At 44.5% G+C, this 15354-nt stretch overlaps 1 protein-coding gene across 2 annotated transcripts in view, besides 1 other annotated feature; it reads left to right on the forward strand.

Moving 5' to 3' along the window:
• The window catches only part of PTCHD1 (patched domain containing 1), a 69979-nt gene continuing 55416 nt past the window's right edge, over positions 792-15354 (forward strand). The window contains exons 1-2 of one of the 2 annotated variants that reach the window (XM_011545449.4): positions 792-857; positions 1271-1622. In XM_011545449.4, the coding sequence (XP_011543751.1) occupies positions 1272-1622 (351 nt within the window). In that variant the 5' untranslated portion in view covers positions 792-857; position 1271. Of the gene's footprint in view, positions 858-1244; positions 1623-15354 lie in introns of those variants that run through there. The other variant, NM_173495.3, reaches the window with a different exon arrangement.
• Positions 11110-11609: an enhancer, noted in NCBI's record as "NANOG-H3K27ac hESC enhancer chrX:23362831-23363330 (GRCh37/hg19 assembly coordinates)". NCBI's record gives its function as "activates a minimal SCP1, AML or CMV promoter by ChIP-STARR-seq in primed H9 embryonic stem cells {active_cell/tissue: H9 hESC(primed)}" and the evidence as "EXISTENCE:reporter gene assay evidence [ECO:0000049][PMID:30033119]".

Below are 15354 nucleotides of genomic sequence, written 5' to 3' on the forward strand. Positions count from 1 at the left end.
GGCCAGCCTTTCTCAAACACTCTACGCCCGCAGGGGCGCCCGCGCCAGCCACGCCGCACCAGGTCCCCCAGACCTGCTGGTGACGACAGAGAGAGGAGGAGGAAGAGAAGGCAGGGCGAAGAACCGGGAGCCGGGGAGCCCCGGAGCTCGGGAGCCCGGGAGCCCAGGCGACGGACAGTTCCATCGACTGACCGTCATTATCAGCACTTTTATTACTAAAGGACTGGGTGGGAGGTTGGGGGGTGTGCAACAGAGCTGGCCAGCCCCAATCCACTCTGGAGCGACCCTAAATTAGAGCCACAGAGAAAGATTCTCCACGGATACCTTTTGAGTGGACGTGCTCCAGACACACACCCGGACCCCGTGGTCCCGCCGAAGCTGCAGTGTTGGGGGTATTTTAAACGGTTCTTATTTGGAAGGAGGCGTGATTTCCACGTTCGAGCGTCTTCGCTCCCCACCCCCTCTCGGCACCAGCCAGTGCGCGCCACCACCTGAGCCTGGCGAGAGCCGGGACGCACGCAGTCTTCAGCCTGCTCCTTTAAGCCTCTGGAGAGACTCGGCTCTGAGCGGGTCCGCCCGACACCCGCCCCCTCCCCCCACTCCTGAGAACTCTTTACTTTTTGTTTGGAAAATCGGGGCCATTTCTTTATTTATCTCTGGGTCTTCCCGGAGGAGGGCAGAGAAGGGGAGAGCGAGCTTGGCGGGCCGGACCGGGGGAGGGGAGCGAAGGGAGGGGAGGGGACTGGGTGTAGCCTGGAATTCTCCGTCCTCGTGTTCCTGGGCGGGCGCGCAGAGTCTCCTGGCGATAGCGCCGTCGCCGCTCCCCGCGCCACCCCGTCGTTGGCCTTGGGGGTCGGGTGAGTGGGGTCATGACGAGCCGCGGGGGCTGCCCCGGGCCCCGCCCGCGCTGAGAGGGGACGCGGCCGCGCGGCGCGGAGCCCCCCTGGCGGGGAGGCCGCGGGGGGTGGGGAGGGCGCACGCGGTAGGGCGGAGTGGGGGCGGCGCAGAGGCCGCCAAGCTGGGGGGCTCTCCGGGAGGGCGCGGCCGCGGGCAGGAGGGCGTGTCTCCGGCTCGAGGGGACCCTCCCGAGGCGCGGCGCGGGACTCCCCGATGGTGGTGCCGCGGCTCCGGGAGAGCTCAGGGTCTCGCCGCCGCCGCCGTCGCCGCCGCCGCGGGCGCCGCTGCCGCCGCCGCCGCCGCCGCCGCCGCCGCCGCCCGAACCCGCGCCGAGCGTGCGCCTCGCCCTCCTCCCGCGCCCGCTCTGCTCTAGGATGCTGCGGCAGGTTCTGCACAGGGGCTTGAGGACGTGTTTCTCCCGGCTCGGCCACTTCATTGCCAGTCACCCTGTCTTCTTCGCCTCGGCGCCGGTGCTCATCTCCATCCTGCTCGGCGCCAGCTTCAGCCGCTACCAGGTCGAGGAGAGCGTGGAGCACCTGCTGGCGCCCCAGCACAGCCTGGCCAAGATCGAGCGCAACCTCGTTAACAGCCTCTTCCCGGTCAACCGCTCCAAGCACCGTCTCTACTCGGACCTGCAGACCCCCGGGCGCTACGGCCGGGTCATCGTCACCTCCTTCCAGAAAGCCAACATGCTGGACCAGCATCACACCGACCTGATCTTAAAGGTGAGAGGGGACGGGTGCGGGCAGACTCCGCCAGCGCCGCGGCCGCGGTCGGGCTGGCTCTGCGCTGGGGTCCCGGCTGAGAGCGCCACCTCTCCTAGCCCAGGCAGCTGCCGCAGGGACTCTCCTGCACCGCGCGCCCCAGGGCGGCCGACTGGAGCCTCCCAGCCTCCTGGACAAGGAGCGTCGGGGTCCGGGTCCGGCCCTGCCCGCGTCGCCTCTACCGCCACCCCGCAGCTGCTGCAACAGTTGGGGCGGCGGCGGCCACAGTGCTGTGGTCGGTGCGCTTGTTTTGGTCGCAGTGGGCTTGGGGGTGGGGAGGCTTTGGGGTAACTGGGCCAGCAAGGAGCAGAACGAGAGAAGACATTCTGGAAAGTCCTACTACTTGAGAACAAAATACTATGCTTGGAGGGGATTCCGAGATACCCCTCCCTGTCCTCAGTTTTGTTTCTCCCTTTTTCTGGCCCCCCGGAGTGTTTGGGGAACGGTTGTTGGTGTGGGATGTTGGGAAAGGACAAAAGAATGTGAGGCGGGATGGTGATGAAGATGCCTCCCACCCACCCAGAAAGAAGTGTGGTCTCTGGCGAGGACAGGGGGCTGCCCTGCTGCTCTCTTCTCCGGAGCGAGGTAGCCATCTCTATCTTCTAGGGTATGAAATTATGTTTGTAATTCGCAGTTCCTTCGTCTTTCACAGTAGCTCCTCAAGAAATGCCAAAACTTTGGGAAAAGAGGGAACCGATCAATCCACTTTTATTTGGGTGCATCTGAGCATGGGGGTGAGGGGCAGAGCCCGAAGGGTGAGAACAGAAGCCAGGCTGTGTGACCCCGAGAAGAGCACAGGAAACCGAGCAGCTGGTTAGAGGGTGACACTCGCAGAAACCGGTTGTGCCATCAGCTTGAGGTGGGAATTTGATGTGGAAAGTGAGGTTAATGGTGGTAACTTTCAGGAACTTCCTAAGAAAAGCAGAGGAGTGAGGACTAGAGATGGAAAAGTGGAGACCTCGGGAGAGAAAAGTAAAAATAGGTGAGAATGTTCCATCTGAATCCCTGATGGGGACTGTGGGGCTTGTTTACTTAAGGTTCTCCTTTGGGGAGGGCAGACAAGAACCAGTCCCAGCTGGGACTCTGGTGCAGAGGGATGGAAGGTGATCGTTTTGTGTGAGTCTCTAGTCCAGATCTGGTACTAGAGGCTGGTTAGATTTCTAGTCTACTTATCCCAAGGGGAGTCTGCCGGGAAACCTGGGGAACTCTTTCCTCTTCTTTTCCTCTACAGGTAATAGTTTATCCCTAGAGACAAGCTAATTTTCATTATTTTCCTATGTCCGTTTGTTGACATGTTATCAATTAGCAATTAGTAATGAGGGGAATCTGACTAGGGGCTCAATGGAATTAGGATCTTCCCACATGGAGTGGCTCATGATATTTTTAATGGCACACATCACACATTTACTCATCACAGAACCTTAATAACATTAATCCCGAGATGTTTGTTTTTCTCATGATTAGACTTCCAGCATCAAAGTGGTTTTCTTTTTTCTCTCAATACTTTAGTGACTATATTTTGGGACACAGATAAATACTGCTCCAAAAGCTTTCCCACGAAAACACATAGTAGATTCATCATGGGCATAAGGAAACTGTAATTTAACCAGTTCTGACAGTTGGAAATGCCCCGTCTTTTGATTGATGATCTACTAAATGATATTTCTCTTTTTGTGTTTTTTCAAGGTGACGTTTCCATTGCCTTTCCCCCCCCACCCACAAACCATCACACCACTGTGACAGGCAGTCACCAGTTACAGTCACTCTCAAGGTTAATGAGACATCAACAAGCATTATCAGATCTCTTTTCAACTGGATTACTTCTTCCCTATTTGATTTTGATCAGTTCAGGACAGAAAACAGTGCTATAGGAGAAGGTTGAGACTGGAGAGACGGAGGCTTGGTTTGCCTCCATATCTAAAGGGCAACTTTAAAGGACAATGGTCAAAAATCAGTGGATTGTTTTAAGAACTGGGATGGTTTTTCATCTTCTAGGTGTCTGAGTAAAATCAAAACCAAGCCTAGCAGTGGTCCGAACTTATTTCTAGCTGATGACTCTCTGGTCAAATGAGTTCATACAGCTTATAAAAATCCAGACTTACGGAACCAAGGAAATAACTGTCTTCAATTTTAAATTATATGTTTAATTTTTTCTTTCTGCATCCAGCCCCTACTTTTGGTAGATATGGAGCCAGGGGACAGGAAGATGGACCTTCATTAGTCATGGTAATGTAAAGTGTGGGAGTGAGCACTTTTTTTTTTTTAATTTTTTTCATTTAGAGACATGATGACTTGTCCTTTAGGAAAGGTGTCAGGAGTGAAAGAATCACTGTTATTGTTGTTACTAGTGTTATTCTGATGCTTCGTTACTGGCATCAAGGATAGCATTGACAGTTAACACTACACAACACCCAACAGTCCCTGCCCCCTGCCGGTTTTATGGCGTCACATTTGAAATGAAGTGAAGTGGACAGAGCATGAGCAGGTCTGAGGCTTTTTCATACCCCAGTACAGAACTGAGGAGGTGACTTGTAGGGCTGTGTAGGGTGTTGCTTCAAGCATGAAGAGTAGACCCATTCTCTCCTCTTAATGTTTTGGGATTGTACCTGTGCAGTGAAGGAGATCCTTCTTGGGATATTGGTCCCACTATTTGCTGACAAAAAAAAAATAGACTGGGAGGGAGTGATGACAGAAAACGAAAAGCCAGGTTGACGTTTTTAAATGTAATTGAGAGTATTACAGAAAAATATCTGTATTTCAAAAATCCAGCTGATCTGGTTTGGAGGAGCTTTCTCGAATATGCGCAAGTGATATGATTACCATACTCTGACCACTGTAGCTTAGAAGTTGACCCCACACTGTGAGGCATGACTCCCCCCAGCGTTGGTTTCCCCTGAAGGCTACAGGGCAACGATGCATTATTAGGCAAAAGTGGGTAGGACCTGGTGGTGCTGATAAGGGCTCATGCAGTAATTTCTGAACCTCTTTACATACATGCTGCTCTTCAAACATCTTCCTTTTCCTAGAAAATTAAATTTAGCTGATTATATCTTTTAACAGAAGATCCATGATGTTCATCTCAAAGCAAATTTCAAAGGAGGGCCTCACAAGCTTTTATAGATACGTTTCGTTGCGATCACCTAAAATGAAGTGTAAGTAGGTCCCTTTGATAATTGATCCAGGCTGTTAACAAAACAATTCTTGATTTATTCCGGAATCATCTATTTAAAGTGAAGAATCAGTACAGCCCAGTACTTATGATAATGACATCATCTTTATAGGACTTTATAGGTTAGAAATATACAGTATGTTTAAATACAGTAAATTGGGAAAAATGCTATATCCCATTTTACATATGAGAAAACTACTTCTTAGAAGTTAACTGACTTGTCCATGGGAAAAAATACAAGGCTAGAACCAGGACTGGACTGGACCCAGGGTTTTGGACTCCAAGCCCAGTGTGCTTTTCATTGTAATTTACTTTCATATGATACACTACTGGAATGATTTAAAATGTACATTTTTGTTATCCAAATGAAGTACAGTTGACCAAAGTTTTATATCCCATCCCATCCAGTTGTTCTAATAGTGGTAATTGGATCATAAGAATATTTTTCTTGACTGATTCTGTCTAGTGTCAATTAAAATCCACATACAGAAACTCCAAATACCCAAAGTAAAGCATAAGATATTTATAATTAACAATATACAAGGATAGAAAGAAGATTTTTTTGGAAAAAAAATCTCTGGATGATTGAATGTAGCTGCTTCCTGATTGAGTGCTGCTCATTGGCAGGGTCCAGGTTGACTGAACTTTAGTGCCTTACACACTCCCTGGCACATAATAGCTACTCAATAAATACTTGTTGAATAGACCCTCCCTAGTTTACTCAGACATTTATGTGATGAGTTAAAGAAAATTCCATAAAAACGAATTTGAAATGTATTTACATAGTGAAATTTTTATTTTTACAACTTTACAGACAGTTACTAGGATTCTTTGTTTGCAAGATATCATTCTTCCCTCCTTGATAACCCCCGTAGTCATATCAAAGCGTATTTCAGTTTCAAAATTGGGTAGGGGAATTGCCTTTGTACAAAGTCCTCTTCTTCAGGGGAAACTCAGAATGTTTTATTCCAAACCACGGGAAGGACGCATCCTCACATAGCAAACATTCTTCCATTTACTAGGAGATCTCATTTCGCTCAAATATCAAGTTTCTGTTTTACTTAAAGCTTTTATGTTTAAATACATTAAATAGAATTAAGTTGCAAACAAGGTTAATAAAATCTAACCTTAAGTTATTTACTTCAGGCTTTCCAAGAAGGGCAGCATAACTGCTAGCTCGGGGTCACAAAGACTGGGTAGCTAGATCAAGATCATAGTTTTTCCAAATGCTGTCTCAACACTTGCAATCACTATGGGAATCACCATCATTTCTTCCTCCACAATCTAAGGATCAGCAAATTTCAGCCTAGTTTTTAACGTAGACTGAGTTTTTACAGTTTTAAAAGATTATAAACACAACAAAACAAAAACCAAGAAAGCTATATAGCAGAAATTGTGGCTCGCGAAGCCCGAGAGATTTGCTATCTGTACATTCAAAGTTCCTATGTTGTATTCTAAAATGTCATTACTAGAGCACTTTCAAGAAGTTAATACTGTGAATCTGTAAGGCAGTAGTTCTCAACCGGGGCTGACTGTGCACCCACCCAGGGGACATCTGGCAATGGCTGGAGACATTTTTGGTTGTCACAACTTGGGGAAGAGGCATGTGCTACTGGCATCTAGTGGGTAGAGGCACAGCGTAGCCCCCACAACAACAAAATTACCCAGCCCCAAATGTTAATAGTGCCAAGGTGGAGAAACTCTCTGCTTTGCATGTTTCTTTTGTTTTATAAAGATTCTTTTTTTGCTACTTTGATTATGTAAAATGAAAAAATGCCAAAGAGAAGTTCATAGAACTCTGGGGACAACTATTATGACCTCTGAGGTGATGCTCTCTTGGGCAGTTGAGCAGAGACCAGATTTTCCAGTGTAATCGTCCCCAAAATGCAGTTATCTTGCTCTCTTCGATGGCTCTGTCCCTTCAGGTCTAAATCCCACCTGCTGTAGAGGAGCCCAAGAAACTGAATGCAGTATAACTGCTTGAATGACGAAGGGGCTAAGTTGACACTGGCCTTTGAGACTTGTCCATTACTAGAGTGCCCATTATTGGCATGCCTTAAGCATCAGTCAGCAGCAGTCGCCCACTTAGGTCGGGCTTCTTCTGACAGTGTGTAAGACCCCACTGTGAGCAGCGACCTGAGGAGGCAGGAGGCAGTGCTTTGTTGCCTATTCCAGTCTCTCTGCTTTTCCAAGTATAAAATGACAAGAGAAGAGCTTGTATCAAAGAAACACGGAATCAAAGAACCTTCGGTTTAGAAGGCACCTTAAAGGTCATCTCCACAGAGGCTGATGCTAGAATCTTCTCTTAGCATCTCAGGGTGCTTTGTTTGGTGACAGGTGCTATGAAGCCTTGGGCAGTCCAGTCTCTTCTGGTGAGTTATCCAAGTGGCAGATACTCTTAGAAAAGATTGAGCCTGGGCCTGAAAGGGCAGCATTTGTGTATTTGCTGGGTCAGTCAATTGACTTTTACTCTTTATTTTTGTACTAGGGGAAAATTAAGGAGAGACTGAGATCGGTTTTCATTCTCCTTTCATTTCGTAGGTAGTGTATCCGAATAATCTAAGCACAGTCTCATCCTAGGGTTGTCTGACTTTTAAGTACATTTGATTTTTGCGATTAGTATGTAAAATGCCCACTTGTCTCATTTAGATTTGGGGAGCAGTCTTTTAATTCTCCATTTAGGTACACATTTGAGACAAACTTTGATTAAACTGAAATTTAGATATAAAGCCTTAGTGGGAGAGGAAGCCCACCTTTGTAATGACTCATGGCATCTTGATAGATGCCATATTAGAGTTAGGAAAGGATGATTCTATTTTAAATGACCACAAAAACTGAGCCTCTCAGGATTCACCAGACCTATAAAGCTCACAGGACAGTCAAGCATTGAACTGATGACTCCTTAAAAATACGAGAAGGAGAAGTAAGCTAACAGAAGTTATTTGTTTTCTACCTGAGTGTTTCCAGTCCCTTGGCACAAAAGCCAGGGAAATGTGAGATGCTGGTGAGCTGATCAACTTTGACTTTGTGGGATGTGCCATCTGGTACCTGATTTCGGGGCTCAGTGTGAGCCCCAAGTGATACTTGAGATAGGCTTAAAGCAGACCTTTGAAGTCACCTGCTTGATAGCACATCACAGCAAGCAGGCCTGTCTGCAGCACTGCCTGTGTCTCCGCCACATACCCGGAAGGCCACAGAACTACCGAGGAATCCTGCCAGACTGATTTAATGACCAGCAGGGGAGGTGAGTAATCGCTAACCTTTAAAAGACAAGAAAAGGAAAAAAAGAAAATCAACACCAGTTGTTATTTCTTACGGGAAGCCCTGAATAATATGTTGTGCTTGCAACTTCTGAATTCATATTTTGAACAAAAGGAGGCAGTGAGGAACTAGAAAAAGCTATTTTTATCTTCTTGCTCTCTAAGAAATCCTCTTGAGAATATTGTTTCTGCTATTTTGAAAGATCCCCATTGTTAGGTCTTCCACTTTAGGTTTAATTCATAGGCTTCAAGTACAGTTAAGATGATTTATGTAAGTGCAGTCGGTTATCTTGGGAGGTGATATCAGAAAAGGCTGATAGGGGAGTGGGGAAGTAAAACAGTGAGTAGCAGGAAGCCAATCAAGAGAGTATTATTAAGCAAGTGTCTACTGTGGGCAACTGGGGCTCAGTCTCACTAGGGAACTCTGGGAGACACTGTAGAATGTGTTGGAGAAATCTCAGTTGTGGATAAAGAAGCTGAATATTTTCTCCCCAACTCCAGCCATCATCGGCTGATTCAACTACATTTAGAAGCATTAAATTTCTGGCATTTTCATATGCTGTGTTTCTCCCTATATATATATATATATATATATATATATATATATATATATATATTTTTTTTTTTTTTTTTTTTTTAAAAGAATTGGGTACAGAGCTACAGGTGTTTGTGGCAAGCAACCTTAGCATGGAGAGGTGAGTGTGAGCTGAGACTATATGGGTGGGACCCTGAGAGCATCTGCCCTAAGGGTCTTATATTCATCTAGAGTTATACATCGAGAGATTTAGTGCCCCGTTTCTAGGGAATGGATATTCATCCCTTTACTCAACAAGATGGCTATGACCCTGTCTCCATGAAGCTTACAGTTAAGAATCATCCAGCATAGCTATTTAGTTATTCCCAAGTTTGACAAGTGCCAGTGGATGCTGGTAAAGATGACTCCAAACAGGGCCTAGACACCAACAGGATGTGTGGTTTTAGATGCCAGACCTCTACATTTGAGAGGCACATATTCATTCTCACCTTTATGAATACAGAAGTCTGCAGGCCCCCATCTTCACACATCTACTTTTGTTGTTCTCCCTAAAAGTGCCCTCCCTCCTCTCTTTAAGGACCAGTTCACATGCCTTCTACTTTATGAGGCTTTCTCAGATTCATGGCTTCTTCTCTCCCTTAAATCTATTGGGCTTTCATTCTTATACACATTCTTTAATGCAGAGCTGTAGACTCTTATGTAATTTGCTATATTGTCATGTGATCGTTTCTCTTAAGAGAGGTAATGAACTCTTCAGGGGCAGGAACAATGTCTGACACTGCCAGATCTCTCCTAGAGCCTAGCATAATGTGGAGTTTGCAGCAGGTGCTTAATAAATTGTTACTGGTTTATAGCTTGTAAGATGGAAAATGTGCTCTGCCTCCCTATTGATTTATTTTGGTCAAATATAATTTTGCCTGGTAGCATGACCATGTGATTTCTTGTGCTCTATATTCATTTTTCATCTTTGACAAATCTTGGTTTCAAACTTGTTGATAAGCAATAAGCATCCATTCTGTTTCCAGATCTGCTGCCATTTATATGAGGAGAAATTCTTGGAAAACCAAATATCTGACAACCTTCTCTGGTCCAAGTACAGTTTGGGAGGGTATGAACTTGACCTCAGTCCCCAATCAGTGGTGCATTTCCATGTGGGAGGGTGGATCCCTGTGCAGTTCCCAGTGAGCACCCTGGAACCCAAGTCCCCACACTACACATTCCCTTATTTACTTAAAGAAAAGTCTCAAAACATTGGCCACACCCATATTCAAATGTAAATAGGAAACACACTTAAAAGAAAACATCAAGGACAAGTGGTTTTCCTGACCATAGCACCAGTGTTCAGGAGATCACCATTCTGATGTTGCTTAGTCCCACTCTTCTTAAAAGTTAGCCCAGAGGAACAGAAAGTATTGTTCTAAGAGGCAAACTTAAAAGAAAATGATACTGGTACAAAATCAGCATATTTCTGTGAGTTTAATGGAAACACTAAAACTGCTAATTTTTCAGCGTGGAAGATAAAGATTCCTTTACCCATTCCTCCATGAGGCTCTCCTGCTGTCACTAATACCATGGCTTTGTCAATTCTTTCTAATTGTCTCAAGAAAAAATAATGCATCTCTGCTATAGAGCTGTCATTATAAATGCTCAAGAACATTTTGTGATATTTATACCTTAATTGTATGAGGTTTGAGTTGTTGGATTTTGTTTTTGGTCTTGTGGTATAGGCAAGTAGTCCTACTGAGTAAAGATTGTTTGATTGCTCTCAGACTTTCTAACATGCACACACGTCACCTAGGCATCTTGCTAAAATACAGACTGATTCAAAGGGTCTGGGGTGGGAACTGCAAGTCTGCATTTCTAACAAGATCTGAGGTGATGCTGATGCTACAGATCAGCAGAACACACTTGGAGTAGCAAGGCTCAAATTTAACTGTTGTAAACAGAAAACTGGATTTAGAATCAGGAAAGCCAAGTTCAAGTTCCAGTTCTCCTAAGTATGTATCTTTGGGCAAGTCACCTAACCTCCCTGAGAAACACGCTCCTTATTTGCACTGGGTGTAATAGCATCTCTTTCACCCACTTAAGGTAAAGATAGAATGAGATAAAGTATGTGAAGGCACTGTGTAACCATAGCCTTCTGTAAAGTGTGTTATCATTATTACTATTTACTTTGAAAATGACTGCTATTTCCTCACATGTGCCAGCTCTTTCAAAGCCATTATTGCCTGTTGAGTAATACACATGTAGCCACTTTTTTCTTTGATCCAACAGGCAATAATGGGTGCTCAAGCTACATTCAATACTCATATTGCCAATTTGTTGGTCTTTAATGACTCCATCTGAGTCATTACAGACAATTGGATTCAACCTACTGCTGAGCATGCAGCTCCTCTACCTGCAGAAAGTTCTTAGGCAGGCAGAGCTGCGGATGGGGATGGGTGCATTGCATTCCAGCACACCAACGTGGTTCCTCTGGGCTCAGAACCTACTCTTCATGCCTGATGGGGCTTTGCACACAAAAAAAGCCTTCACTTCCTGCCCAGGGAAGTGCCTTTTGAATTAAAGGTTCTGAGAGGCTGCGGGCTCTGGTTTCAGGGCTCTCCTCACCACATCTCACAGCACAGCATGCCAAAGAGGGATTCTCCAGTGATTTAGGTGAGAACGTTGATCATTCTCCTCTCTTACTGAATTTACATGACTACAGTGTTTCCCTGGGAAATCTCGTCCACATAAGTAGATCTGCAAGCACTTCACAGGGAAGAGTGTCATCAGAATTGCCAGAGATCAGGAGCACCAGGCAAAGTGATAATTGTAAAGTCCTTTGAAACTGGAATGTTGCGAAATTTTGCAGACTGTGAATTTTGATCATTTAGTTCAGTGTGCTTCCCCACCTACCCCTTTAGAAAATTGCTTTTTATAGGATCCCAAAAGAAATCCACAATTATTCAGGCTCCACATCAAATCCACCAAAGAAGATTCCTCTGCCTAGCTGGTTCTCTATCCCTAATCTCTTCAAACAAAATTAACCTCTGTGTAAGTGAGGGTTAGCAGTACTTCTCAAACTTTGTACTTCTGAATTCCCTGGGAATTTCAGCATGCAGATTCTGATTCAGTAGGTCTGAGGCAGTAGCCCTGACATTCTGCACTTCCAGCAAGCCCCCAGGGATATTGATGCTACTGGTCTGCAGACCACATTTTGAGTAGAGCAGTAGATTAGTGGATCTAAGGAACCTTGCTGAACCTTTGTATATCCTGACTACTCAGTTCTATTTAATTGCCTCTGTAAGCTAAAGTAGTGGCTCTCCAACTTGAGCAGATAGGCATTGGAGAACTTGTTCGAAACAGATTGTGGTCTCCACCCCAGAGAGTTTCTGAGTCAGTAGGTCTGGGGTGGAGCCTGAGAATTTGCATTTCTGACAGGTTCGCAAGGTGATGCTGTTCTTGCTGGTCTAGGGACCACACTTTCAGAGCCACTGCTATAAAGTATCCTAGAAATTAGCTACCAGGACTACTTCCAAAAATGCAGTCTCTCTCTGTGGAATCTGGCCAATAAGATACAAGCAGGATGAAAAAGTTGTTTGCTCAGCACTTAATTCTGAATGATGCTATAATAGCTCTTCTACAAAGGGTATTAAATAAATCTGAATATCTGAAGTTTGCACTGTAAGGCAAGCATGTTGAACAGAGGGCCGTACTCTACTGCCTGTCTCCTGGTGTTGGAATTCAGGAGAAAAGGGCTGAGTAGAAGAAAGGACACCCTGAGATGGAGGAAGAGAGATACACCTCCCCCACAATACACACACACCATGGATGTCGTTGCTACCATCACATATGGGATTGCCAAAGCTTTCGTTCTTCCAAAGCCTTCCCATACAGGGTCATCTGCCATTTGCCTTTTCCAGAACTTCCTTTAAAGCAAATCAGATGGTACAGCAGGCACAAATAGGAGCTACATGCTGCATTTCTGAGACAGGGTCCCAGTACTGTGGTTCTGTTAAAGAACAAGTTACTCAAAACCCTTGTTAAAGAATGGTAAGGCAGAGTTTATTCAGCAGGAGCCACTGAGATGGTATAGGGACTACTGCAGTGGGGTTTTGCAGTAGGGGAGAGATCCGACCCACTCGGAATATGACAGGGAAGAGTGGGAATTTATAGCCAAGGAGCAGGATGGGGTCAGTGGATACAACATTATTAAGAGGAAACATCAGGGGGAAGGGGCAGATTCTAGCTAAACCAATCCGACAGGATTCTTGCTGAAAGCTGGCCAGGATGATCAGATATCATCTGAGAGATGGTCAGAGATGAATAATTTAGTCAGATATCTAGAATGATCAGATACAAAGGGTGGGGGATTATGGTTAAATGGATTTAGAAGAAGTCTTCCTAAAATTGGATGATGTAAAGACAGAAAAGGAAATCTGAATGCCAAGGGTTAGTTGGTGAGAAGGTTCAGAGGAGCCTGACTAGAGTTTGGTAAAGGAGAGTCGTCAGTTGTCAGAGGTGAGGTGTCCACAGGGAGGACCCTGGCAACTAATGTTCAGTGTCAATTACTGTTTGATGTCAAGTGCTGTCAGAGAGAGGTGACAGTTGCAACCAAAATTCAGTGGGTACCAGTTTAGGCAGAGTGGAAAAAGCATTGCTTTAGAACCCAAAGTTTTGTGTTTGAGGCTGTGAACTATTAATGTGTCCTTGATCAAGTCAGTCACTTAACCTCTCTGGGAGGTCTCAATTTCTTCATCTATAAAATGGGATCAACAATATTATCATTGTGAAATCCACCCAGTGTTCTCTATTAACAAATGCTTACTCTCCAGGAGAATGGACTTGCCAGAGCACGATTCTGAAACTTTATCCTAGGTTCTTTCCCATTTCAGCCCCCTTCAGCCTTTCTGCCTTACCTAAGAGTTGGTGGGGGGAGAGTCAACAGGGGTCAGGGATTCAAAGAAATCAATTTGAAGCACTACAGCCAGGGAAGGGAATAGAAGACAGGAAAAAACTATACCACTAGAGAAATACTTGTGAAGGTCACAGGTCTACTAAAAGACTGAGATTTCATTGGAAGATTATATAGCAATTTCCCCTTACCACACTTTACTACCACATCAGCAGAGCTCCAGTTTAATAATAGTGGATTACAGCTGAAAGAGCAAAAAGACACAGACCCTCTCTGAGGAGAAGTATGTGGGAAAATCCAACGTCAACAAGAGAGACAAAAACAAGGACAGTAGAGGAAATTAAAGCTTCTGGTACCTATAGCTACAACAAACATTAAATACATTCTGACCCCTAGATTAACATAAATCTTCCCTGTAAAGTCCTGTTATCTTAGTTCCTATTAACTGATATAACATGTCTAGCCTTGAAGAAAAAATTACAAGGCAAGCCAAAATAAAATATATATAGTCTGAAGAGACAAAGGAAACATCAAAATCAGACTCGGATATGGGAATTTAAATTCAATACCAGACAGGGAATTGAAAGTAACTATGAAGGCCAGGCGAGGTGGCTCATGCCTATAATCCTGGCACTCTGGGAAGCCGAGGTGGAAGGATAGCTTGAGGCCAGGAGTTCATAACCACCCTGGGCAACATAGCAAGACCCCGTCTCTACAAAAAAATTTAAAAAATATTAACAGGGCATGGTGGTACATGCCTGTAGTCCTAGATTCTTGGGAAGCTGAGACAGGAGGGTCATTTGACCCCAGGAGTTTGAGGCTGCAGTGAGCTTTGATCACACCACTACATTCCAGCCTGGGTAACAGAGTGAGATCCTGTCTCAAAAAAAATAAAGTAACAATGATTAATATGTTAAGGGCTTTAGTGGAAAAAGTAGACATCAAGACCACATGGGTAATGTAAGCAGAGAAGTGGAAACTTAGGATGAATCAAAAGGAAATGCTAGAGATAAACACTGGAACAGAAATGAAGAAAGGCTTTGATGAACTCATCAGTAGACTTAACTGCCAAGGAAAGAATCAGTGAGCTTGAATATAGGGCAATATAAACATCACAAACTGAAACACAAAGAGTTAAAAGAGAAAAAAAAAAAAACCCAAACGGAACATCTAAAAATTGTGAGACAGGGTTATCAAAATATATGACATACACATAATTGGAATACCAGAAGGAGAAGAATGAAGCAGAAGACGTTTGAAGTAACAATGGCCAAAAACTTTCTAAAATTAAAGACACCAAACCACAGATCCAGGTAGCTCAAAGAACACCAAGACAGATAAGTACTCATAAAACCACACTTAGGTGTATCATAATCAAACTACAGAAAACCAAAGACAAAGAGGAAATCTTGAAAGAAGCCAGGGTCGGGGGGACACCTTATATATAGAGGAACAAGGAAAAGAATTACATTAGAGTTGTCAGAGAAAAAACTGCAAGAAGAGAATGAAGATAAATAGTTAAAGGGTTAAAATGAAAAAAAAATCAACCTAAAATGCAATAGCCAGCAAAATTATGCTTCAAAGTGAAGGAGATATAAAGACTTTCTCAGACAGAAACTGAATGAGTTCATCGCCAGCAGTGTTGTCCCGCAAAAAGTGTTATAAGAAGTTGTTTAAGAAAAAGGAAAATTATATAGGTCAGAAACTCAGATCTATATAAAGAAGAGTATTAGAGAAGGAATAAATGAAGCTGAACTAAAATATTTTTATTTTTCTTACTCTTAATTGATCTGAGACATAACTTCATTTAAATCAATAATAGTAACAATATA

The sequence above is a fragment of the Homo sapiens genome, chromosome X (assembly GCF_000001405.40).
Source record: "Homo sapiens chromosome X, GRCh38.p14 Primary Assembly".
In the NCBI taxonomy this organism is placed as follows: domain Eukaryota; kingdom Metazoa; phylum Chordata; class Mammalia; order Primates; family Hominidae; genus Homo; species Homo sapiens.